The following is a 23,390-nucleotide window of genomic DNA, read 5'->3' on the forward strand; positions in this document are numbered from 1 at the left end:
GGAATGAGAAGTACACATTCCCATGCTCTTTTTTATGTAGTTTTATTGCACCTGTAAATTTTCCTAGAGAGTACAGTCATTGTAGTTGCTTTTAACTTTATTTTTAAAAGGCATAGTGCTGTAAGTCATCATTGGGAACATGCTATTTTTACTAATATTTATGATATTGCCAGAATCCACCTACATCACTGAAGTTATGCTGCAGTTAATGTGTTTGGACAGCTGTATAATATTCCATTGTGTGATCGTGTCTTCGTGTATTCATCCCTTCTCCCACTGATGGGCATCTGGGTGGCTTCCAGGTTTCTGTTATTGTGTGCAGAAGGGCTGTAAAGTCCCAGGCATCCATGTGCAGAAGTTACTCCGGGATACCCTTAGGAGAGAAATCAGCTGGGCCACAGTACGGTGTGTGGATGTGGAACTTTAGGCTTTACTGCCGGAGAGTTTTTCCAAAGTCAGCACAGCAATTTGCATTCCCACCAGCAGCTGAGGAAAAGCAGAACAGCAAAAACTTGCGACACACTGGAGGCCCACGAGAGTTCTGATCCCTTCTCTGACCCCTCATGTTACTGGTCCCTTGACAGGGAGCAAACAGACGCACTATGACCCAGCATCACAAACTAATGTGTGGAAAGGCTGGGTCTTATCCCCGAGCCAACCTGACTCAAACCCCAAGCTCCTGGCACCAACGCCTCCCATGCCTCAGGGCAAGAAGCCACAGGGGGAGGCAGCTCTGAGAGGCAGAGGATGAGGTTGCAGTCAGAGGATCACATCAAGATGGACACCTCCAGAGGGTCAAGTTCACGGTCAAGGGCTGAAATGCAGACACTCCCAGACCTGTGTGTACAGGATGTGGCCTTGGCCACCCGGGGCAGCTAGGAACTGGGCCCACACATGTGCTGTTGCAAGGTCTTCTACTCCGGTGTTTCTCACTCCATGTTTACTGCCTGATTCAGGTGCCTCCAGGGGATCACACGAGCAGAAGTGGGACGCTGACGGTGCCTCCTGGGGTAGGAACTCCGGCCTCAAGCTCACCTTCTTCCACTCCGCCCCAGCACCCATTCTCCTTGCTGGCTGTCAGTGCCACTCCCAGAAGAGCCCACAGTGATGGCCTTCCATGGCCAGGCCTGGCAGCCACACCCCGTGCCCGGGCCTCCTGCGGGGGTGTCTTGTTCACTGTCCACTTCCACTGGGTTTGTTTGAAGCCAATGCGAAAACTCAAACGCTGTGTCTGCCCGCAAGAAGTTTAGTTACCGGAAAAAGGGTCTATCCTGAAAACAGGATGAGAAGATTTTACTAAAGGAAAAGGCGTTTGGGGGCTGAATACAGGCTCACTACGGGGATATCGAAAGGGGTAAAACTGTTGGGAACTGCGCGAGCCCACCGTGAGAACCAACTCCACGCTGAAGGTCCTTTCTCCTTACAGGGGTGTCTCCCTTGCCAGCTTCCGGAGCAGGGTCCTGAGACAGTCAGGGTCCCTCCCCCACCTCATTCATTTCCTCATATTTGTTTTCCCACATATATGTTCAATCAATATTTGTCTAGTAAAAACAAAACTCACATTACTATTTATGCAAGAGTACAAATAACCTTTGTAAAACTGTTAATAATAGGATTCGGCTATCTTGGGGCGGCTGGACATACTGCAGCTTTTCAGAAAACCTTACATAAAGCACACCAGTGTTCAGCTAGGAGGCGGCAGCAGCAAAGTCCCAAGAACACAGTGCTGGTGTAGGAGTCAGGCCCGCATCTCTCAATAGGTAAATCAGTTTTTAGAAGAGCGCCAAAAATTACATGCAAGCCAAAAAGTTGTCATTAGAATTCTATACACTTTAAAAACATTTTTATTGTGAAAAGTCTCAAATGCAAATAAAAGCAGACAGTACAATAAGCCCCTGTATACCCTCCAATTCAACAACAAGCAAGATTGGCTCCATCTTTTTTCCCTTTGCTGTAAAGGGAAAGAATTTTAAAGCAAACTCCAGCATCATGTCATTCCACTTCTCCATCAGAATGTGCCTCTAAAGAATATTGGCGTTTTCTTACATAACCACAATTACATGCTCTGAAGTTGTTTTTTTTTCCCCTATGTGCCTCTTAAAATGAAGGCCTCTGTATGTGTTTGGAGGCCAGCCCAGAAGTAGGAGACAGAGGGAAGGGGCGGGGGAGACCATGGAGAGAGAACTGTGTTGGTGGAAGCTGCAGTCCCCAGGGAGCGTTTGTGATTTGCACGCCCCGTATCCTCCCTGTAGTCCTCCCTTCTGTGACTATAACCACTAACCACCAGCCAAGGAGAATGGGAACTTGGAAGGCTGACAACGTGGCCCACCAATCCGGTAAGGGTGTAATAGCATTGCTGGTGGAAAAATTTAAGTAACTCTTCTAAGTGCCAAACTGATGCCCCTTCCTGCAAGAAAAATGGACCACAAACAGGGCTGTGAAGCAGTGTGTGCCCTGGTCCACCCTCTGTTTAACCCACTGAAAGCCACTGGTCCCATTACAGGAAAGGTTACCTCCATCACTCAGGGGCTCCCAGAGAAGCACCTGTGGGTGGGCAGAACTGAAAGGTGTGGGGCTTTCCCGGTACGGTCTGAGTCTCCTGTCCCCCAGCTTGTCCTCTGAAGGAGACTGTGACCCACCAGACCCCTCACACATGCCCGTGAGGGGGTCAAACTCCAAATCTCAAACAACCTGTGCACAGGGTACTGGGGACACAGATGTGACCAACCAGCCCGCAAACTTGGGGAGGAATTTTTTGGGTTTAGGATGTGATCTTCTCTATATTCTCTATGCCCACGAAAGTTGCATCCTCTTCCTGCTACTGAAGAAAAATGCTTTAAAACTTGACCCAAGAAGAGAGCAGGCAGCAACACTTTCTGCCCCAGGTGGCCCCTGCAGGGGACTGCAGACTGTCTTCCATTCAAGCCGGGCCTTTTGGCCGGGTGCGGTGGCTCATGCCTGTAATCCTAGCACTTTGGGAGGCCAAGTTGGGTGGATCAATTGAAGTCAGGAGTTCGAGACCACCCTGGCCAACTTGGTGAAACCCCGTCTCTACTAAAAATACAAACAATTATCTGGGCATGGTGGCGCGTGCATGTAATTCCAGGTACTTGGGAGGCTGAGGCAGGAGAATCGCTTGAACCCAGGAGGCAGAGGTTGCGGTGAGCCAAGATCGTGCCAGCCAGGGCAACGGAGCAAGACTCTGTCTCGAAAAACAAAAACAACAAAAAACCGGCCCTTTCTTGCGAGACTCAGCTCACTCCTCTCTCCAGTCCGAGCCCACCTCCCTGCCTCCTTCTTGATGCCTTCCACGGTGTATTTTCTGAACAGCCCATTTTATCACGACATCTTGTCTTCATTGTTTCACACTTTGACTCATCCTCTACTAGGATAGGTTCTGTAATGTCAGGGAAGTAGAAAGAGCACTGGGTTGGATCTCAGCAGCCTTAGGTTTAAGTTTCAGACCCGCCATTAAATACAGAGACAAGTCACAATTTCTCTGGGCCCTGGTTTTCTCATCTGTAAGATGAGAGATAGCAAACACTGTGTATGGAGCGCTACTGTCCACCTCCTGCCCCCACAGCAGACATCACTAATTGATGAAGCACTCTTTTCCACAAATCTCAACGCAGAGGCCTCATAATCCTTCTCAACACAGCCCTCTGGGCAGCCACAACCAATCAACTCAAGATTAAACCTATCTGCCACTCCCTGGACCAGGTGGTTTCCAGAGACCCTTTCAACATGGCGGGCCCCATGACACAGCACCTTGGAGATTATGCAAAACATGAGAACACAATCTTTCCCCAGCTTATCTGGACTCTAAATTGGCCTTCTTTGTCAGGAATAACAGACCCTGAAAGGTTCTTCAAAGTCAGGTCCCTAAGAAAGCTGTTCCATCTCCAGCTCAGCGTGTTTCCCTTTGTTCTACAGGACATGGGTCCTACAGACACCATCTAGCAGGTGAGGCAGAGATGACCCAGAGAAGACGGAGAAATACACAACCACCAAAGCTGGGGATGAAATTAAATCTGACCTCAGCCCAAGAAGTAGGTACAGGCATGCATAGATGCTCCCAAGGACTACCTGGCCTCCTACAGAAAATTCAAGGGACGACCTTGTCTGCTTGGATTTTTGGCACAGACTCAAGCGAACACTCCAAACCCAGGCTACGCACCCGCTTTAAAATTCTCTGCTTTATCTCCTGCAATATAAAGACTAGGGCCTCTCAGGGCCCAGGTGTCATCTGATTGTGCCTCTTTAACAACCAGTGTCACAGGCCCCGGAAATCTGAAAAGCCCTGGGCTGTGACCCTCATCCTACTTACCCAGGAGGCTACAAAGCAGGGGCCTGTCAGTCACTATCCCTCCTTCCATCCTCCAACTCTGGGGTTGCTCCTGCCTCCCGCAAAGCCTCATCTTAAAGCCAGATCCTACTGAAGGACCCCAGGGCTCCAGTGCACCCCTTCCCAGCACCTTCCAGCCCAGTGCCTTCCTGCATCACTGCAGCCTCCAGCTTTCTTATAGAGCCCTATTCTCCTCACCATCTGTAGACTTGGAGCTGGGGAAGCTGCTTCTCAAAGGTAAGAGAGTCACCCCCTCGAACCCTGGCTCTGCCAGGCCTGGAGTGCCCAGGGCAATCCGTTCCACAGAACGGCTCATCTCCCAAGGAGACTGCCCAAAGCCCAGGCTGGCCATGCTGCCGTGGGGGGCCCAGCCAGGAATCTCAGGGGGCCATGAACAGAACCCCCAAGAAAGACTGTCGTTGTTTCCACCAAACACCACTACTTTGATCAAGGCCTCCTCCCCAGCACCAAGGAATGAGAAAGCCCCTCCCTCTTTCTGCTTGGGCACTCAGATGTCCGGGAGCCAGGAGGAAGGGGGTGGAGAAAGTGGGGAGCCAGGGACACTCTGCCTCCTCGGAGGTCGCCAGGCACTTATTAAACTGTCTCATCCTTGCTGGCTGAGGATACTCCACGAGGTATCGGTTTACTTTGCAAAACCAGTTCTTGCTGCTTAATAGTGTGGGGACCGGATGAATGGCCAGTTGGAAACCAGACACCCCTGGGAACAGCCCCATTCCTGGGGAAAGCAAGCACTGGGAAAAGACACAAGGACTCCCGCAGGTCACAAACCATTTTATTACCCACATTGTGCTGTGACAGGGAGGGGTCTCCAATGAAGAGGACCTAGCACTGGAAGGTGATAGCCCCAGAAGAGAAGAGGCTTCTTTCTCACTGTGAGGCAGAAACAAATTTATCTGTATGTAAACTTTTCCAGTAATGGGTGATGCTGTGACACCTGCAGAAAGCAGCCTCCCTCTGTTACTACTATAAACACCCATTCTGCAGGCAGTGTGAGGGCACAGCCTTCTGGAGTGCCACACCTGGGTACCACGGCACACTGGTGCATCCCGGGAAGATGTTCCTAGGGCACCACATCTGGGTACCAAGAGGACTGGTGCATCCAATTAGACCGAGGTGCAAAAGCCAATGCGTCAACATCCAAGCCATGAAGATTATCCAAAAACTCTCAGGTGGAGGCTAGGCGTGGTGGCTCACATCTGTAATCCTAGCACTTTGGGAGGCTGAGGTGGGAGGATCGTTTGAGTCTAGGAGTTCGAGACCAGCCTGATCAACATAGCGAGACCCCCATCTCTCTTTTTTTTTTTTTTTTGTATTTGAAATTTTTATTTTAGGCTGCAAAAACAAAAACAAGCAAACAAACAACAAATAACTTGAAAATAGGCTTGTCAAATGATGTAAATTCATCCTTTCCAGGGAAGCGGAAGGTAGACCATCCTGCTTCACTGCTGCTTGCACTCTGTTGGGTTTTGATCCTTCTTTGGGTCATAGTCTGGATCATTTTCCTCATCTCCTCCTTCTTCCCCTTCCTCATCTGCTTCTTCACCTTCTTCATCATAATCATCACCCCATCTCTTAAAAATAATAAACCAAAAATTCTCAGGTGGAAAAACTATGACCTTCACTATTGTGCTGCACACTACGCACTGGCACCGGGAGGAAAGGGTGGCCAGCCTACCCCAACTGCACACCTGGGACGCCCATCAGCTGCTCTCTCCAACACGTGCGGCTGCTCTATGGTGCAGGGCCAGCTGGGGAACCAGGCTTGTCAATGTGCTGCGAACAAGCCCAGTGTGCTGCTGGACTCCGGATCCTGGAGTCCTCCCCCACTCCCTTCCTGGCCACAGACAGCCCCAAGGGTGGATGAAGCCCACGGGTGATGCTCCAAACCCTGACCCTCAAATCCACAGCACGGGGGTGGTTCTTAGGGCACCATCCACCCAACGGCAAAGGATACTACAGTTCCCATCCTCTAAAGATGACAAACTTTTTCCTTCCAAAGCACATTCTCCCCATGAAGAAATGCAGTGTGATCCCTCAGATCCCTGGAAGCCTTTTCTAATGAGCCACATGGTGAGACCGGCACTACCAATCCTTTTCTAAGACAGACAAGGTCCACCAGGACACAGCACGCTCAGGTAGTTTTACTTTGAGGTTTGGGTGTGCTGCTCTGCAAGACCCCAAAGCACACAGAGCCCACGTGGAAAGTGTCACCCACCGGCCAGGAGGTTTACCTAAGAAGTCTACCAATGAATGCCAGCCCACCGCAGCCAGGGCCCCAACACACCTTTCCATCTCTACCCCAGACCCAGGGTTCTCTCACCCCACAAGTAACTTTAGCACAAGAAACGCCCTCATGGCATGTACTCCCCACCACCCCCACCCCATCAGGCCTCGATTCTGACAGACAGCAGCACCCTGACGCATATTACGAAGGTGGGAGCCTCCTACAGCCTCAGTGAGAAGGTTCCCAGGAGGAGGAGCTAACACAGTGCCAGATGTCTCGCAGCTTGCCCAGCCCTGGGAGGTGAGGGTTTCCGTGCCCACTTGGCCCACAGAAAACCTGTGTTTGGAGAAGGGCCTCAGGTCACAAGGTGGGCGGCAAGGCCAAACTCGGACATCAAAAGCTGGTTGCCCCTCTTTGGTAGTCCAGGGTGTGCCGAACAGGGGGCTAGATATTCCAGGGTTTTAAAAGCCTGCTTTTGACCAGGTGTGGTGGCTCACACCTGTAATCCTAGCACTTTGGGAGGCCAAGGTGGGAGGACTGCTTGAAACTAGAAGTTCCAGACCAGCCTGGGCAACATAGCAAGACCCTGCCTCTTTAAAAAAAAAAATAATTAATTAAAACTAAAAGCCTGCTTTTGTCCTGGGTGGGGCACAGGGCTTGCTGCCTATGACACATCTCCACCTCCTAGGAGAACTGTCCACATGCATTTCTATATCAGAGGCCACACAGTACAGAGAAAAACATTGGGCCAGGAGCAGAATGGCCTGTATTCCAATTTCAGGTCTGACACTCACTAGCCATGTGTGACCCTGAGCAAGCCAGTTAACATCCCAGGGCCTCATTACCTATCTGTAAAATGGGGACAATACTTCCTGAACCATCTACTTCACACTCTTTATAGATCCTGTGATGACTGAGCTCTTTCTATGATGAGCCAACAATTTAAAAAGTAGAGCAGGCCGGGCGCGGTGGCTCACGCTTGTAATCCCAGCACTTTGGGAGGCCGAGGTGGGTGGATCACTTGAGGACAGGAGTTCGAGACCAGCCTGGCCAACATGGTGAAACCCTGTCTCTACTAAAAATACAAAAAAAAAAAAAAACAAAAACCTAGCTGGGCATGGTGGTGGGTGCCTGTAATCCCAGCTACTCGCGAGGCTGAGGCAGGAGAATCACTCAAACCCAGAAGGCAGAGGTTGCAGTGAGCCAAGATCACACCTTTGCAGTCCGGCCCGGGAAACAAGAGTGAAACTCCATCTCTAAATAAATAAATAAACAAATAAACAGTAGAGGAGACCAATGGTAGAACCGACAGGGCCTGTGCACATCTGCGCATGCCACACACACACCTGCCACGGTGGCCATAGTTCATTCGCCACCCCAATGTGCGACCCTGCTCTGGAAGCTGACAGTCTCCATGCTCGGGCCAATCTGTGTGTTTTCTGCTCATGCAGCTTGCATGCCACCTTTTAGACTTTCCACCATGGCCGAGCCCAGTGTTGGACGTGATTGTTCAAATGGGAGGGAAGCCTTGTGGATTCCATCTTAGAGGCCAGCACACTTTCTCCTCACGCCCAGCGCCAAAACAGCCCTGGGCTCTGCATTCATGGGCTATGACCCAGGCTAGCCCCACTTTAGGGGCTTGGGACCAACTAAGTCATCTCTGCCAGAGAAGGTAGCCAGGACCCACCACAATGAGGTAGTACTGGGCATCCTCTGTGATGAAATGCAAAAGTGGTGGTAATTGTTAATATTTGTGTACTAAGCGCCCAGCACCATTCTAAGTATTTTAAATATACTAACTTATTTATCCTCAGTCTAATCTAACCTTGTTGTGATTCCCACTTTATGAATGTGGAAAATGAGGCATAAAGATGCAGAGTGACTCGCCCAAAGTGGAATCAGCTTTTGGCGCAACTGTCCACATCCAAAACGCACAGCCTAACACAAGGACTTGTTCTGGGAAAAGAAAATCAACCACGGGGCTCTAAACACACAATGTTTACGCAAAGATAATTTAACTCCTTTATAGAACTGACAGTCAGTTTCAAGGGGCTGAGCTGTGTTACTGAACCTCTCAGCTCCGTTCCCACAACCACAGAACCTCTACGGGTTGTCATGGAGAGTGCCAACGTCCGGGCCATGGAGGTTTGGCGAATTGGCTCAGATGACGGTTACACTCCGCTGCGTCTTCTTCCAAAGGCCCAGTCAGGCCAAGCTACCTCCGCAGCATGTGTGGCGGGAACCACACACGATATAGACAAAACTGCTCCCAGGAAGGCAATGACAGTTGCCGCCTATAAGAGCTCTCTTTCTGTTGCCCCCAGATTTCCAAAGCCAGATGGAAACTGACAAACCTGAACTCTCTTGCCTGCTGGGTTAGGCCCTGGACAAAGGCACTAGGAGGCAGACTAGACAGGCCTCCTCCCGTCGCTCTGACCACAAGAAGTGCACGGGCCAGCTGTCGCCACTCCAGGGAGTTTCCACAAGGCTTTATGCAGCCACAGGAAGATTCCTGGTTGATGCCTGACAGGGAAACAAGGAAAGGAGGGAAGGCAGCACCCTGAGAGACAAGAGCCGAGATGCTGATGGCATGGACAAAAACCACTTAATGGCCCATGTTTCAGTTTTCTTGTTGGCTAAACGAGGAGCAGCTTGGGCAGGATCAGCAGTGCCCAACCCTGGCTGCACGTCGGAATCACCTCAGACAACGGCTTTTAAATAATACTGACAGCCAAGCCCACTTGGGCCAGTTAAATCAGAAACCCTCACTCTACAAGGGGTGGGGTCCAGACAATGCATTTTAAGGGCTCCCCATTGGTTCTGCCTTGCGGCTGGGGATTCAGGTCCCTGCAAGCTTGAACATTCCACTGCTGAGCGAAGCCACACACCATCAGGACTTGCTCTGAAACCATCCCCCTTAGAGTCACCATCAGCCTAAACACAGAGGAGCAGTTACCACGCCCCAGCGATATCCCCACTGTGCTGCGGCCAGCAAGCGGGAGACGGCCAGGGTGTGAAGGGCCCTAACCAATGTATGACCAGATTTCTGTCATCTGTCACACAGAAGTGAGCTCCAGCTCTGCTATTAACTCACCATGTGGCCTCAGCCCACCCCCCGCTCCACCTCCCATGTAAAATGAGGGGACTGGGCCTCGTGGCTCTAGGCTGCCTCGGCCCAGCTTCTCAACGTTCTTGACACTGATGCTACAGCCTCCAGGCCTCAGGTGCTCAAGGCCCAGGCAGGTACCAGGTAGCGCCTGTTCTGGAAACGTCCAGGGCTAAGGTGTCTGCCATAGCAACACTAGATCCCTCTTTTCCTGAGTGACCTGAGCTATAGCAGCCTTGAGCAGACGGTGACCGCGTCTGCTGCCCAGAGCTTAACTCAGACGCTCACAGTAAGCTCTCAAACTGATGTATAAACAAGAAACACACACAGCGAGCTGTCAGCCACTCGCAAAACAGAGAATGACTTAAAAAGGATCGAAACACTCAAACACGTGACATTTCAACCAAACACAGACTGAGATCCGCTCTAACTGTGGGCCATGACTCAAGCACACTTGCAGCGAGGGATGTGAACTTCTCCCTTTGGGGCTGGTGGAAAGGACTTCCCTGGGTATTAATAGCCCTCAGCTGTCCCCACGAAAGCCACAGATTCCCTTCCAAGGGAAGGGCCACAGGCTCCGCAGGGAACCCTGAAGCACCTGAATGTGCTGAGGTGGCAGGATGGTGCGTGAGTCTCTGTCTTCTTCAGACCCCATCATTCATGTGACAAAAACAAAAGACAGAAAATAAAGCACCGAGGGTCCTGATTCTGCTCAGCCTGTCAGAATATTAGTCTGCACGCCAGCCCAACATGAGGTTCAAGGGAAACTGAAGTACACAGAGACACTCCTGTCCCCCACCTGAATGAGGAGCCAATTAGTTCATCTGAAGACCTGCCTGGCCCTTATGGCCTCAGCAGCTACTGGTCAAGTGGAGTGGGGGTAGTTTACAAACCAGGGAGGGACAGGTACGGTGAGGAGGGAAAATGGCTCCATCCAGGCTTCCTCCGAGTCCAAACGTTAAGAGAAAAGAGGGTCATGGGCCCTGACCTCTGCTCCATCCTCCTCCTGGCCTTCCCGGCTTCCCCAGGGGAAAAGTCAACAACTGCTCTTGAAGATGTGATTCCAAGTTCAAAGTCAAGGTCACTGACCCCAAAGGTTTCAAGTAGAAAGGGATGCTTCCGTGTCTGACAGTTTAGTCCTGCTTGATTTAAGCATGAGCTTCTAAAAAGCTTTGCTATCCTAGGACTATCCATCATCAACAGGAGTACCTTGGCTGCTGGGGCTTAAGAGGAATTGCTTTGATGTGGAAAAACCTCTATGCTGACTCCAAGTGAAAAAAGATTTTTGGCTGGGCGTGGTGGCTCACATCTGTAATCCCAGCACTTTGGGAGGCCGAGGCAGGAGGATCACTTGAACCCAGGAGTTCCAGACTAGCCTGGGCAACACAGCAAGACCCTGGCTCTATTTAAAAAATAAAAAAAAAAAAAGAAAGAAAAAGAACGAAAGAAAGAAAAAAAAAGAGGAGAAAAGCTTTTTCTTGGCCAGGCGCGGTGGCTCACGCCTGTAATCCCAGCACTTTGGGAGGCCGAGGCGGGCGGATCACAAGGTCAGGAGATGGAGACCATCCTGGCTAACACGGTGAAACCCCATCTCTACTAAAAATACAAAAAATTAGCTGGGCGTGGTGGCGGGCGCCTGTAGTCCCAGCTCCTCGGGAGGCTGAGGCAGGAGAATGGCGTGAACCCGGGAGGCGGAGCTTGCAGTGAGCCGAGATTGTGCCACTGCACTCCAGCCTGGGCGACAGGGTGAGACTCTGTTTCAAAAAAAAAGAAAAAGAAAAAGGATAAAAAAAAAAAAGAGAAAATATAAGAAATGCTGATGAGTCCTGCTCAATGAGCCATGGTTACTTTGTTCCCTCAGTGGAGCAAGTTGCTACTTTCAAGGCGGGGCTGGGGTTCCAAACCCCTTATGATGACTGTCACACACATTCTTAGTAGATGCCCGATTCTGCTCCTTGACACAGATTTAAGCACGGCGTCTGGCACATAGCCATATGTTCCACAGAAACCCTCCATCCGCTTAATTTATGCTTTTGGCATCTCCACCTCGTTATCAGACTGGAGAGGGTGGGGACTCTTCTCACTCAGTGCAACACCGAAAGTATGCCCCGTGCTCTGTGCTAAATGAAGAAAAACCAAGCTGGCATCTCAGAGGCGCTCCTGTTCATTAAAGCCTCCCATCACAGAGAACACTGGGGCAGTGACGCACAGGCTGCCACAGGGCCCTCACCCCTCCAGCCTCTGGGTTTTCTAACTAACTGTTCCAAGTCAGTGTTGTGGGTCACCAGGAGGCAAAGTCCATGGCCAGCCCACTGCACCTTCCCAGTGGCCAGTGGCCATACCAAAGTCGCCTTCCAGGTACACATGCGAAAAGCCAGTGGCTGGTCCCATCCTATTACAGGATTCCCAGAGCCTAAGGGAGTTACAAAGAAAAAAAAACCCAAACAACAGATTCCAAAGCCCAGAGAATGGGGTGGAAGCACCCCACTTCCTTTACCTGGTCTCCCATCACCTATCAGAACCAGAGAGCGCAGAGGACAGGGGTCTCCAGAAAGGAAGAACATGGATTCGGTCCTCAGGCTCACCACTTCCTTGTTTTAAGGTCTTGGGCTCTGGGACAAGGTTCCCAGGGTCCTTGGTTTCTCTGAACTTCTGTCTCCTCATCTTTGAGATGAGAATAAATGCCACCTAGTGAAGGTGAAGACTGAAATGGGAAGGAAGTAAGGATTCTTAGCAGCAGTCCTAACACCCACTGCCTTCAACACCAAGCGCTTAACACAATGGCAGCCACACACCAGAATGTTCTAGAAGCCTGAGAAGCTTGCCCATTCACTGGCACCTGTGTGTTGAGCCTCATGCTGGACCCAGGGAATGCAGAACACAGTTCTTTTAGTTTACCATCATCCTCACAGTACAAACTCTCTTCCTGCTAAAAACAAAACAAAACAAAAAAAAAAACCCACTGGGTGCCCGTTTTTAATTGTGGTAAAATATGCATAACCTAAAAAAAAGCTTAAAATGGTTAAGTTTTAAGTGTACAGTTCAGTGGCATTAAATACATTTATGCTGTTGTGCAACCATCCCCACCATCCATTTCTAGAACTCTTTTCATCTTGCAGAACTGAAATTCTGTACCCCTTACACAAATAACTCTCTGTGTTTCTTGCTTTTTAAAAGTCAGAAGTAGGCCGGGCACAGTGACTCACACCTGTAATCCCAGCACTTTGGGAGGCCGAGGCGGGCAGATCACTCGAGGTCAGGAGTTTGAGACCAGCCTGGCCAACATGGTGAAACCCCGTCTCTACCAAAAATACAAAAATTATCCAGGCGTGGTGGCGTGTGCCTGTAATCCCAGCTACTCGGGAGGCTGAGGCAGGAGAATCGCTTGATCCCAGGGGGCTGAGGCTGCAGTGAGCTGAGATCATGCCACTGTACTCCAGCCTGGGTGACAGAGCAAGACTCCGTCTCAAAAAGAAAAAGAAAAAAGAGGCAGCTTCCTAAAAGACCAGAAGTTACATGTTCCTGAGTGTACTATATTCCTTTTTCTTGTTTTTAAAATTTTTACTCTACTCTGGAGCTGAAAGTCCGCTTTCCAGCTACTTTCTTTTTTTTTGGAGACGGAGTCTTGCTCTGTCGCCCAGGCTGGAGTGCAGTGACGCAATCCAGCTACTTTCTAAACTCTTTCCAACTAAATCTGAACATACACTTGGATCTCAAAGTTGCCTCATGAGTTCACTCCCTGGCTCCATTTGGCTGTTCCTGACTCTCTAGTGCCTCTGGGGCCTCCAGGGTAGCAGCTCCCATGGCCACCATGACAGCTGCTCCCACTGACCCTGTTCCCACGAACACGGCCACCTCCAGAGGTTCCAGCTCTCCCTTCCTGAACCTGTACCTAGGAGGAGTTCAAACAGACCCAGAACTTAACATGCTCTATAAACTCTGGCTTCAGATCACCCTTTCCTACATGCCACCCCCAACCCTGCCAAAACAAAACAAAAGCAACAACAAAAATCCCTATCCAGGAAACCTAGAGGTGGGAGTCGGTGGACATGGAGCTCCGAGGGGCTGGCTTCAACCACCCAGAGCAGGGAAGGACACCTTAATTAGGGCTAGAGGAGGAGAACCTTTTCAAGGGGAAAGAGAAACGAGAGAGGCTTCAGCTGGTCACATTTCCAATTCCTTTCTGTTCAAAAGGAATGAGATCAAAAGGCTTGTCAAAGTGGCTTTGCCTTTAGAAATCAATTTACCTCATCTTTTAAACCCAGAGCCGATAATAACCCAGGGTTTCCATACCAGCGATGCATAAAAGAAGGAACATTTTAAAGCCCAGCCCAGCCCGAGGACCTGGCCCTTTGGAGTTCTTGAAGGCAGCACCAGGGACCCCAGCAAGGGCGGCCCCTCACTGCAACCCCTCACTGAGCCCCCTCACTCTCACCACGCCCCTCACTCTCACCGCGCCCCTCACTCTCACTGCACCCCTCACTCTCACTGAGCCCCCTCACTGCACTTCCTGGGAGAGGCAGAGGCTGCCGGAGTCCCCGCCCTGAGTGAGTCTGCAATGTAGGGTGGGACACAGAGAAAACAAGTCAGGGCCAGGGGTGTGATGACGGCGATAATGATGTTAAATTCCAGAGAGTCCTCAAGGCCTCACATAGCGAAAAAGGAAAGGTGCTGGGGAAGGAGAAACTGCAAGGACAGGACGTGTGAGGCAGCGGGAGAGGGAGAGACAGTACCGGAGTCCGCTCCCGGAAACGGCCCCTGGGCACTGGGCTGGGCATTTCCCAGGCACCAATCGCTCACTGGCTCTCTCAGAATCACTGCAACCCAGGGAGGGGAGTGCAGTCATCACCCCCATCTGACAAAAGAGGAACAGGCTAGGAGGGGTTGGGCCGCTTGCCCCAGGTCACACCAGTGTCAGGGCAGCCCTGGAGGACAAGAGGAGCTGCCCCGGGAGAGGCTGAGCTGGGAGATGACAGGTCCAGGTGCCAGCTATTCTGTCCGCAAGTAGGATGGGAGCCCCCCCACCCCCTAAACCCCCAGCCCTGCAGGCAGAGGGGCAGATGAGGCAGAGGCAACCTGAGCGAATTCTACCTCCCGAAGGAAGAAACAAGGGCAAGGTAGGAGAAGGGGTACAGACAGAAGCGCCCTCCCAGACGGCCCACACCTCAGCCCCGATCTGGCTTCCTCTGAAGGTCTGGACTACCTGTTTTGGATTAACTGCCCCAGGTGGTTATCAAAATAGCCCAGAGTTCTCAGAAACCACCAACGCTTCCTTCTTCTGGCATCTAAGCTTGGGATACTCGCCTCTGCAACTTAGTCCATTTCCACCTGAAATATTCAACTTCCCAGCCTGTCCAACATGGTGAAACCCCATCTCTACTAAAAAATACCAAATTAGCCGGGCATGGTGGCCCATGCCTGTAATCCCAGTTACTCAGGAGGCTGAGGCAGGAGAATTGCTTGAACCTGGGAGACAGAGGTTGCAGTGAGCCGAGATCGCACCACTGCACTCCAGCCTGGGCGACAGAGCGAGACTCCGTCTCAAAAAAAAGAAATCAACTTCATGAGCTCTACTCCGTAAAATCTGAATGCCACAAATTCTCACCCTAAAAACAGGGTGCTAGAAGACCAATTGAGCACAAAAAGTGCCAGCTGCTCCGGAGTTTCTGTCCTTTAAGTAGCCACAATTCCACACTTTAAAGGCACGTAAATCTGACTTGCTGGGCAGAAGGTGAGCCTGTCTGGTTACTAAGGTTTGGAAAGGAGGCAAAAATTTTAGTCTTAAAATTTTAAAGTCATTCAGCCTAAACCTTAGAATGCTCAGGGGAGCCAAGCTGGCTAGACAAAGTTGAAAACAATCAATTTAATTTCCACCCCCCAGGGACTGAGCCTCCCAGTACCTGACATATGGCATTTCCATCAACAAAGCAAACACCACATGAAAAGCCTACAGGTCTGCGTGAAAACAGTAGGGGAGCCCTAAGCTCCAGCCCAGCCCCCTCACTGCATTGCACCTCCATACCGGTTTACCCCTGTTTACCCTCTAAACAGTCAGGGTCTGGGTCCCTGCCATGTGTCAGGGACACAGAGGAACAAGGCAGGCCCCATCCTCTAATTATTCAACAGTCTAGAAAGGGCAGCAGGTCGGGGGCACTTTGCAGGGTCATTTTAACCTAGAGACAGGATTCCCGGCCCAGGCCTGGTGTGACACCGTGCTCCCTGATTGTAATGACTTATTCTCTGAATTATTTACTCCACTGAATGGTGGCCTCCGTTGTTATGTATCTTGTCATTAACACATGCTGACTGACGGCAGACACATTTCCATGCTGGTGTGACAGACAAACAGAAAGATTCAGTGCCTGCTTTTAAGGAATTCTATTGCTGGTGAGGGATAAAATCATGAGGCTTCCTTTGATGAGATAATATGTGTAAGTCACTCAGCTTAAAATAAAACGATCATACAGGAGAAAAACGTGCAGGGCTAGAGACAGGCACACGTGCACACTCGCAAGATTAATCCAAATGAATCAGAGCGCATTACTCCGGGAGGGGTCCTTGGATAATCCGCTCAGTAACAAATGAACACAGAGTGGCCAGGGGACGGGCCTTGGGTGGGGGGCCTGCCTGCCACCCCTCTGCCAGACGGGTGGGCATCCTCCCCTCCCACCCACGTGTCCCCTGAGTACAAGGCCTTTGTAGAACCCCTCCTACAACCCTCCCAGGCTGGCACTATTAATATCTCCACTTTTCAAATAAGAAAGACTCTCAGAGATGAAGTAACTTACCCAAGGCCACAAATCTGAGGGGTACGCTCAAAGGAACCCACCATTCGACCTTGTGCCTCTGCAGATGGTGAGGCTCTTGGTTGTTTTTCCATTTCTATTTGGATTTGTGTCTCCTGCCTCCCAAGACCCCTACCTGCAAGTAACTGCCCCCTCCGCCTGCAGAATACAGGTGAACAAGTACGTCCCCTGCAGAGTCAGCCTGGGACCCAGAGCTGTCGCTATTATTATTCACTGATTAAAGAAACGTCTTGTGATCTCATTTGAGCCTCACAACCACCTATAAGGTAATTTTTACCCCTGCTCTACAGGTGAGGTTGGACGATGCACCCTAAGTCACACTGCTGGGAACAGTGAACACAAGCTTCTGGACCAGGGAAAGCGTTCAGGGACCCAAGCTGACACAGTGGCAGAGCTCTCATCATTCCTGCCTTCCCACCTCCCATTCCACCTTGTTCTCTGGCTTCACTTTTCTGGCCTTCGGGTAACCAAAGAAGTCACCCCACAGAGCTGGCTCACCCACTTCCACCAGGCAGTGGCTAACGTTATCCCCCAGCCGAGAAGGCAAACCTGCCTGCTCCCTCCCCAGGCCACCAGCCCCCAGGCCAGGATTGCCCAGCTGCAGCTAAGGAAAGCAACCAGAGGCTTCTCCCTAGAGCTGCAGTGTGCCCCATCTCTTCCCCTACAGAACACCCCTACATGTAGAATTACCACCCCTCAACCCTTAGCCTCCCCGAAACCCAATCCCAAACCAATAGAACCCTCCCAGTGGAACGTGGCAGCCTTGACTCTTTATCTGAAATCTCTGCCTCCCCCCTAAATACCACCAACTCAGAACTGGGGGTACAGAGTGCGGCCCCTTCAACTTTTACAGTACTGGCTGAAACCACCAATTTAAGACCAGCACTTCCTCATCCTCCTTCCCTCGACATTCCTCTCATTACTAGAAAAATAAGACGACAATTATATCGCGACAATTACATCTCGAAGGATCAAGGGGCCCTGGATGCCAAGGCGAAGCAGCAGAGAATCTCTGCCATTCCCCAAAGAAGAGCTGAATAACAAAAACTGTTACGAGCCCTGGAGGTGAGCCACGCAGCCGGCTTCACGGAGAGGCAGAGCCTGCCTGGGCAAGTTCTTCTTCAGAAACTCCTTTTGACAAACCAGTGAGAACATCAAACATGCTGATCCTGGCATCTAACACCAAACCCAAGGCAAAGGAGAAACCTCTGTTTTTTCTTTTTAACGACTTGAGAAATCCATTTCTCTCCTTTCTGTCACAAAAGGAACTGGTTCCTCCTGCCACTTCCTCCCACTTTGGCGTTTAGGGTATGTCCATAAAGTGAGCTGTGTTTCCAACCTTCATTCACGCCCGCATCACTCGATTCCCACAACACTCATCACCCACAAGTGCAGCTTTCAATCGGAGCTGAACGAGAGCTAACTAAGAATGAGCCCGACAAGCACCGGGAACACCAAGCACAGCTCACTCGCGGCTTCTGCAAGCTTAACATTCATCGTTTCAGCCATAATTTTTCCGGAAGCACAAATTCAGACCCCTTGCCCTCCGATCAGGGGATCACTCAGCTTCCACTCCCAGAAGCTTTGTTGCTTACTTTGTGCTCCCCAAGATGGGCTCATAAACACACATCTCTGTAAATAAATGGCCATGAATTAAGAAACAACTTCAGGAGTTCGAGACCAGCCTGGGCAACACAGGGAGACTCTGTCTCTACAAAAAATCAGAAACATAAATTAGCCAGAAGTGGTGGTGCATGCTGGTAGTCCCAGCTACTCGGGGGGCTGAGGCAGGAGGATTGCTTGAGCCTGGCAGGTCAAGGTCGAGGCTGCAGTAAGCCGTGATCGCACCACTGCACTCCAGCCTGGGCTACACAGAGCAAGACCCTGTCACCAAAAAAAAAAGAAAGAAAGAAAAAAACTTGAGCAAACGGTGAAAAAATCAATACTTGACATGGTAAGATAACCTGTATCAGAAACATGATTCTGGAACAAACACCAATAGGGGAGGGAGAGGGGCCTGGGGGAAGTCCCGATGTGTCAATGTCCAGAGGTGGGCAGGTCTCCAAGCAGACCCTGTGAGGCTGCATGTTCTGAGCATCTGGGCTCGGTGCTGTGCCCAACAGGCCCAGGCAAGGGGACAGCCACAGGGGCCTGGGTGGCATCCCCAACACCAGGAGTGAAAGCAAGACTCCTGAGCCAAACCTCCTTCCCGCAAAGGCTGAGGAAATGATGGCCGCTCCTGAAACAGGAGAAAAGCCCCAGCAAATCAAGGTCTTGACTCAAGTCCTAGAGAAGGAAGCCTCAGAGAACAGAAAGACTGTGTACACACACACACTCACACACACTCTCACACTCACACACTCTCACACTCATACTCACACACACACATTCTCTCCATCTCCTTGCCCTGGCTGAACTCCAACTCTGCTAATTACATCAAACCCACCTTTCGCCCTCTGCAACACCTGCAATTAACCCTGAATCTCTGCTTCCTGCCGCTCTGGGGTGAGGGGTGAAGTCTGAGGCCAGCTGCTCCCTGTTCCACCCTCCGCCCAACCCCGGAAGTTTCAGAGGTGCCTGAAGCAACCCGGTCCCTTCCTCTGGGCTCCAGGCTGGTGTGAAGCCGGGTTATCACGGGAGCCCACACTCCCAGCTGGGGGGCACACCACACGCAGCACCCCCACCCCACTGCGGGTGCAGATCCTGACTGGCCCTGCCAGCCTTTACAGGACAGCACGTCCACCTGCAGCAAGTTACCTCCCTACATGATTCTAGAAAGCCTGGCTTTTAGAAAGAAGCTTCTCCAAGCAGCTGATGATGAAGAAAACTTGCAGCTTTCCGGGGCTGTTTCCTGATCTTGCTCCATGAGCCTTGGTTTCCTAATCTATCGAATGGAGACAGTAATTTCTTCTTTATAATACCGAAGTAACAGTGAAAAATGACGAGGCTCTAAAGCCCCCAGCATGGGCACTCAGTAAAGGTTAAGCTCCCTCCCATTCATCTCTCAGCCTTTTGATTTGGGCACAGATCTGAGTCCCACAGTTCCTCGCTGCTATCTGATATGCCTGGACAGCATTTCTTCTGACAACAAAAAGGAGAGAAAAGAAAGGAAAACAAGTCCAACTGGCACTCTAACAGCTTACAGAAACCAAATCTGCCTCCCAAGAGGTTTGGGCGTTCAGCACACCACCAGGTCCTCAGCCCGTTTGCTTCACCCCTGGCCAACAGTTGAACCACTGAGCTTGTAACACCAACACTGGCTGGCATGGTGGCTCACGCCTGTAACCCCAACACCTTGGGAGGCCAAGGCAGGAGGATCGCTTGAGCCCAGGAGTTTGAGTAGCCTGGCCAACACAGTGAGACCCCATCTCTACAAAAAATACAAAAATAATTAGCTGGGCATGGTGGTGCACACCTGTAGTCCCAGCTACTTGGTAGATTGAGGCTGGAGGATTGCTTGAGCCCAGGAGTTTGAGGTTACAATGAGCTATGATCGCGCCACTGCACTCCAGCATGGGTGACAGAGTGAGACCCTGTCTCAAAAATAAATAAATAAAAAGGTAAAATAAATAATTGAAAGAAATACAAGCAGCAGGAGCCAGCAGGACAGGGAGCACCACAGGCTGGGAGTGCAGGCCTTTTGTTAAGTGTGGAAAGGGTGATTCTAGTGGCCCTGAGAGCTGCAGCCCTCTTGTCTGGCTGATCAGGAAGCTACTGCCAGCAGCCTGCAGCCCTGGGGGCGCACAGGTCTGCTGCAGAGCATGGCTTTCCTCGGCCCAGACGGCTGTTCCTGCTCCTCTAGGGTGCTTGCTCCAGGTGGGCACTGAGCCGCCCACAGCTGAGTGGTCTCCTGGGCCTCGGGCAGCCCTGTGTGCTGGTGCCCTCTCTCCTCAGGGGTTCTCCTCTCTGCGGACCACTCTCCCTCTGGTCCTCCCACTTGGGGGACTCCTCACTGTCATCTTGGGGAGTCCCATGTGCTCTGCCCAGCCCTAACCCTGGGGCCTGCTCCCACCTCCTTGGCCATGGGCAGTTCTCATTCTCCATGCCTGCTTGTGACTCTTGAGCCAACCTCCCCATGGCTCCCATCTGCATTCCCAGCCAGGAACGCTCAGATCCACCTGACCGACACCAGTGACACCAAGCTGGCTTGCTCCCCACTAAGCCCACTTCTCCTCACCCAGAGCCCCAGGCCCACCCAGAGAACAGCACCAACGCCCCAACCCCAAGTCACACCAGGAACCCACGGACCCCTCAGCCCTGGATTCCCACATCTGGGCTGGATCCCCATAGAGTCTCCTAGAGCTCGTCCTTCTCTCTGCTGCCGTGGCCACAGTCCAGGGCCCTGCCACCTGCCAACCCCTCCCAACACCTGTGCATTCTCCAAATGGGAGCAGGAGTTTTCTTTCCTAAGCTCTCTCTTTTAGAAGTTCAGGTTCCTAGGCCAGGCTCAGTGGCTCACGCCTGTAATCCCAGCACTTTGGGAGGCCGAGGCAGGTGGATCATCTGAGGTCAGGAGTTCAAGACCAGCCTGGCCAACACGGTGAAACCCCGTCTCTACTAAAAATACAAAAAATGTGCCAGGCATGATGGCAGGTGCCTGTAATCCCAGCTACTCAGGAGGCTGAGGCAGGAGAATCATGTGAACCCAGGAGGCAGAGGTTGCAGTGAGCCGAGATCGCGCCACTGCACTCCAGCCTGGGCGACAGAGTGAGACTCCCTCTCAAAAAAAAAAAAAAAAAAGAAGAAGAAGAAGAAGTAGTTGAGATCCCTAAGCACCTAAGCACAGCCTGGAGCCTCACCCCCATACCCGCAAGAGACGCCCCAACCTTCAGGCTGCTTTATGTCTCCAAAGCTCTGCAGGTGCCGCTCTTCCCCAGAGGACACCCCTTCCCTGCCAGTCAACCCCACCAGCCGCAGGCAGACATTTCCCCCGAGAAAGCTCTCCAGGATCCCTGCTCCCCAGGCCTGTGTCTGGCCATATCCCATGTCCTGCGTACACAGGTGTTATTGCAGCTGATTTACCTGGCCACTCTCCCACCCCACAAAACGTGAGCATCTCGGGCATGGAGAGGACAAGAAAGAGAAACAGAAAGAGGAAGAGCCGGTAACCTGTCAAGTCCCACCCACCTGGGGGCCACCAGAGCTTCCACATCCTGCATTTCCTTCTTCTATTATACAAGCTCTAGCTAGGGAATGGGGATCGGGAGGAGGACGGGGGACCCCCCGCAGACCATTGCCCTCCTCAGGCACATCTCCCAGCAGTCTGGAGGGTTCGCTCTTGAATTCTGAACGGACTGCAAACCTTCACATGGAAGCTGACTGTGACCTCCGGATGGTTGGGTCCACAAAAGCTCCCGCTGCCGACATGGGGACAGAGCCCAGGCCAGAGCTGGACTCCCGGCCACAGCCAGGCCCTGCCCCTAATGGCTGCCTTGTTCTCTAACCCCACTACGATTCCCTCAGGCAGTCCTGCTGGAGAGATCCCCAAAAGGCACTCAAGATCCTCCAACAAAAACGAAGTCCACCCAGACATTGCAAACACAACCTCAGGACCTCACCGCCTGGCAGGGACTCGAGAATCTTCAGCATGCAATAGCAATTTGTTAAAATAGCTGCATTTTAACCAACACAATCACAAAGGGTGAAGAACACAAATGGGTAACTGACCAAAGAAAAAGGAAAAAACCTATAAATAAGGCTATTTTGGCAGTAAGTAGCAAAAATTCTCAAAGTATTCATGTCCTTTGACCTAGGAACTCCCTGCTAAGGAAATAAGAACATTTGTTGAATGACTTATGTACCAAGTATGTTCACAGTGGTATGGTTTATAATTCTGAGACAATGATAGTAGTTACACCCACACGATAAAATGTTACACAGACACCAAAATTCATATTATGAAAGAGTATTTAATGGCAGGGAAAAGCTTTCTCACTGCCTGGTAAATGAAAAAAAGGCAGGTTACAAACAGTATAATGATACGAGCCACACTTTAGAAACACACACACACAAAGCAAGCACAAGTACCAAAATGCTGGCAGTGGTATACCTAGGTGTTGAGATAACAGGTGAACTTAAGTTTCTTTCTACTTCCTAATCCATAGTAAGAATATATATATTTATATATTATATATTATATAATATATACATTATATATATTATATATTATATACATTATATATTATAATGTATATATTTATTATATATTACATATATTATATATATATATATTTTTTGAGACGGAGCCTTACTCTGTCGCGCAGGCTGGAGTGTAGCGGCACGATCTTGGCTCACCGCAACCTCTGCCTCCCAGGATCACGCCATTCTCCTGCCTCAACCTCCTGAGTAGCTGGGACTACAGTCGCCCACCACCACACCAGGCTAATTTTTTTGTATTTTTAGTAGAGACAGGGTTTCACCATGTTAGCCAGGATGGTCTCTATCTCCTGACCTCATGATCCGTCTGCCTTGGCCTCCCAAAGTGCTGGGATTACAGGCGTGAGCCACCGCACCTGGCCAGAAAATATTTTTATAATCAAAAATGTTATTTTTAATTTCCTCACAATGTGGACATGAGCTACAAAATAAAAAATGTGGCCCTCCTCTTTAACCTTTGAAGTCAAAAGTGGAGAAACTAATGTCTCCTCTGCAAATTCTGTACAACGTATTATTACTCCTAAAGCAAATGCCTCTTGTACCAGTAGCCATTGCCTGAGTGGACTCTAAGTTCCCTTGAATCCTGTCCCTGCCCATCAAAGCAGTTAAGTGGACTAAACCCTCTAGACCACACAAATGAAACACAGCCACAAGTTTAACGTGTTCTTTCCACCAACAATGTCAAATGGACATTTCCTTCTATTCTCGCTTTTGACAAAAGATTTTCCATGG

The 23,390-nt window shown here is 50.7% G+C and overlaps 1 protein-coding gene and 1 long non-coding RNA gene across 6 annotated transcripts in view, besides 12 other annotated features; both read right to left on the bottom strand.

Moving 5' to 3' along the window:
* CCDC88C (coiled-coil domain containing 88C) overlaps nucleotides 1-23,390 on the bottom strand; it is a 146,498-nt gene that overhangs the window by 107,292 nt on the left and 15,816 nt on the right. The window lies entirely within an intron of this gene.
* On the bottom strand, nucleotides 27-21,585 carry LOC105370624 (uncharacterized). 2 transcript variants are annotated; one of them, XR_944148.3, is made up of 2 exons: nucleotides 21,525-21,585; nucleotides 27-1,271 (listed from the first exon to the last, which is right to left on the bottom strand). It is a non-coding gene; the product is annotated as an uncharacterized LOC105370624 (long non-coding RNA). The 2 variants fall into 2 exon arrangements; XR_944149.3 differs by lacking the exon at nucleotides 21,525-21,585 and adding an exon at nucleotides 18,949-19,813.
* Nucleotides 2,503-2,632: a silencer, noted in NCBI's record as "silent region_6025". NCBI's record gives its function as "represses an Ori minimal core promoter by ATAC-STARR-seq in GM12878 lymphoblastoid cells {active_cell/tissue: GM12878}" and the evidence as "EXISTENCE:reporter gene assay evidence [ECO:0000049][PMID:35858748]".
* Nucleotides 3,627-4,417: an enhancer, noted in NCBI's record as "NANOG-H3K27ac-H3K4me1 hESC enhancer chr14:91848585-91849375 (GRCh37/hg19 assembly coordinates)". NCBI's record gives its function as "activates a minimal SCP1, AML or CMV promoter by ChIP-STARR-seq in primed H9 embryonic stem cells {active_cell/tissue: H9 hESC(primed)}" and the evidence as "EXISTENCE:reporter gene assay evidence [ECO:0000049][PMID:30033119]".
* Nucleotides 4,418-5,207: an enhancer, noted in NCBI's record as "H3K27ac-H3K4me1 hESC enhancer chr14:91849376-91850165 (GRCh37/hg19 assembly coordinates)". NCBI's record gives its function as "activates a minimal SCP1, AML or CMV promoter by ChIP-STARR-seq in primed H9 embryonic stem cells {active_cell/tissue: H9 hESC(primed)}" and the evidence as "EXISTENCE:reporter gene assay evidence [ECO:0000049][PMID:30033119]".
* Nucleotides 4,851-5,145: a silencer, noted in NCBI's record as "tiled region #757; HepG2 Repressive non-DNase unmatched - State 23:Low, and K562 Repressive non-DNase unmatched - State 23:Low". NCBI's record gives its function as "represses a minimal TATA promoter and a strong SV40 promoter by Sharpr-MPRA in HepG2 and K562 cells {active_cell/tissue: HepG2 | K562}" and the evidence as "EXISTENCE:reporter gene assay evidence [ECO:0000049][PMID:27701403]".
* Nucleotides 8,522-9,350: an enhancer, noted in NCBI's record as "H3K27ac-H3K4me1 hESC enhancer chr14:91853480-91854308 (GRCh37/hg19 assembly coordinates)". NCBI's record gives its function as "activates a minimal SCP1, AML or CMV promoter by ChIP-STARR-seq in naive H9 embryonic stem cells {active_cell/tissue: H9 hESC(naive)}" and the evidence as "EXISTENCE:reporter gene assay evidence [ECO:0000049][PMID:30033119]".
* Nucleotides 9,351-10,177: an enhancer, noted in NCBI's record as "H3K27ac-H3K4me1 hESC enhancer chr14:91854309-91855135 (GRCh37/hg19 assembly coordinates)". NCBI's record gives its function as "activates a minimal SCP1, AML or CMV promoter by ChIP-STARR-seq in naive H9 embryonic stem cells {active_cell/tissue: H9 hESC(naive)}" and the evidence as "EXISTENCE:reporter gene assay evidence [ECO:0000049][PMID:30033119]".
* Nucleotides 19,714-19,783: an enhancer, noted in NCBI's record as "active region_8913". NCBI's record gives its function as "activates an Ori minimal core promoter by ATAC-STARR-seq in GM12878 lymphoblastoid cells {active_cell/tissue: GM12878}" and the evidence as "EXISTENCE:reporter gene assay evidence [ECO:0000049][PMID:35858748]".
* Nucleotides 19,877-20,508: an enhancer, noted in NCBI's record as "H3K27ac-H3K4me1 hESC enhancer chr14:91864835-91865466 (GRCh37/hg19 assembly coordinates)". NCBI's record gives its function as "activates a minimal SCP1, AML or CMV promoter by ChIP-STARR-seq in naive H9 embryonic stem cells {active_cell/tissue: H9 hESC(naive)}" and the evidence as "EXISTENCE:reporter gene assay evidence [ECO:0000049][PMID:30033119]".
* Nucleotides 21,150-21,209: an enhancer, noted in NCBI's record as "active region_8914". NCBI's record gives its function as "activates an Ori minimal core promoter by ATAC-STARR-seq in GM12878 lymphoblastoid cells {active_cell/tissue: GM12878}" and the evidence as "EXISTENCE:reporter gene assay evidence [ECO:0000049][PMID:35858748]".
* Nucleotides 21,570-21,929: an enhancer, noted in NCBI's record as "active region_8915". NCBI's record gives its function as "activates an Ori minimal core promoter by ATAC-STARR-seq in GM12878 lymphoblastoid cells {active_cell/tissue: GM12878}" and the evidence as "EXISTENCE:reporter gene assay evidence [ECO:0000049][PMID:35858748]".
* Nucleotides 21,570-22,399: a biological region, named in NCBI's record as "H3K27ac-H3K4me1 hESC enhancer GRCh37_chr14:91866728-91867357".
* Nucleotides 21,770-22,399: an enhancer, noted in NCBI's record as "H3K27ac-H3K4me1 hESC enhancer chr14:91866728-91867357 (GRCh37/hg19 assembly coordinates)". NCBI's record gives its function as "activates a minimal SCP1, AML or CMV promoter by ChIP-STARR-seq in primed H9 embryonic stem cells {active_cell/tissue: H9 hESC(primed)}" and the evidence as "EXISTENCE:reporter gene assay evidence [ECO:0000049][PMID:30033119]".

Source organism: Homo sapiens, chromosome 14 (genome assembly GCF_000001405.40).
Source record: "Homo sapiens chromosome 14, GRCh38.p14 Primary Assembly".
In the NCBI taxonomy this organism is placed as follows: Eukaryota; Metazoa; Chordata; class Mammalia; order Primates; family Hominidae; genus Homo; species Homo sapiens.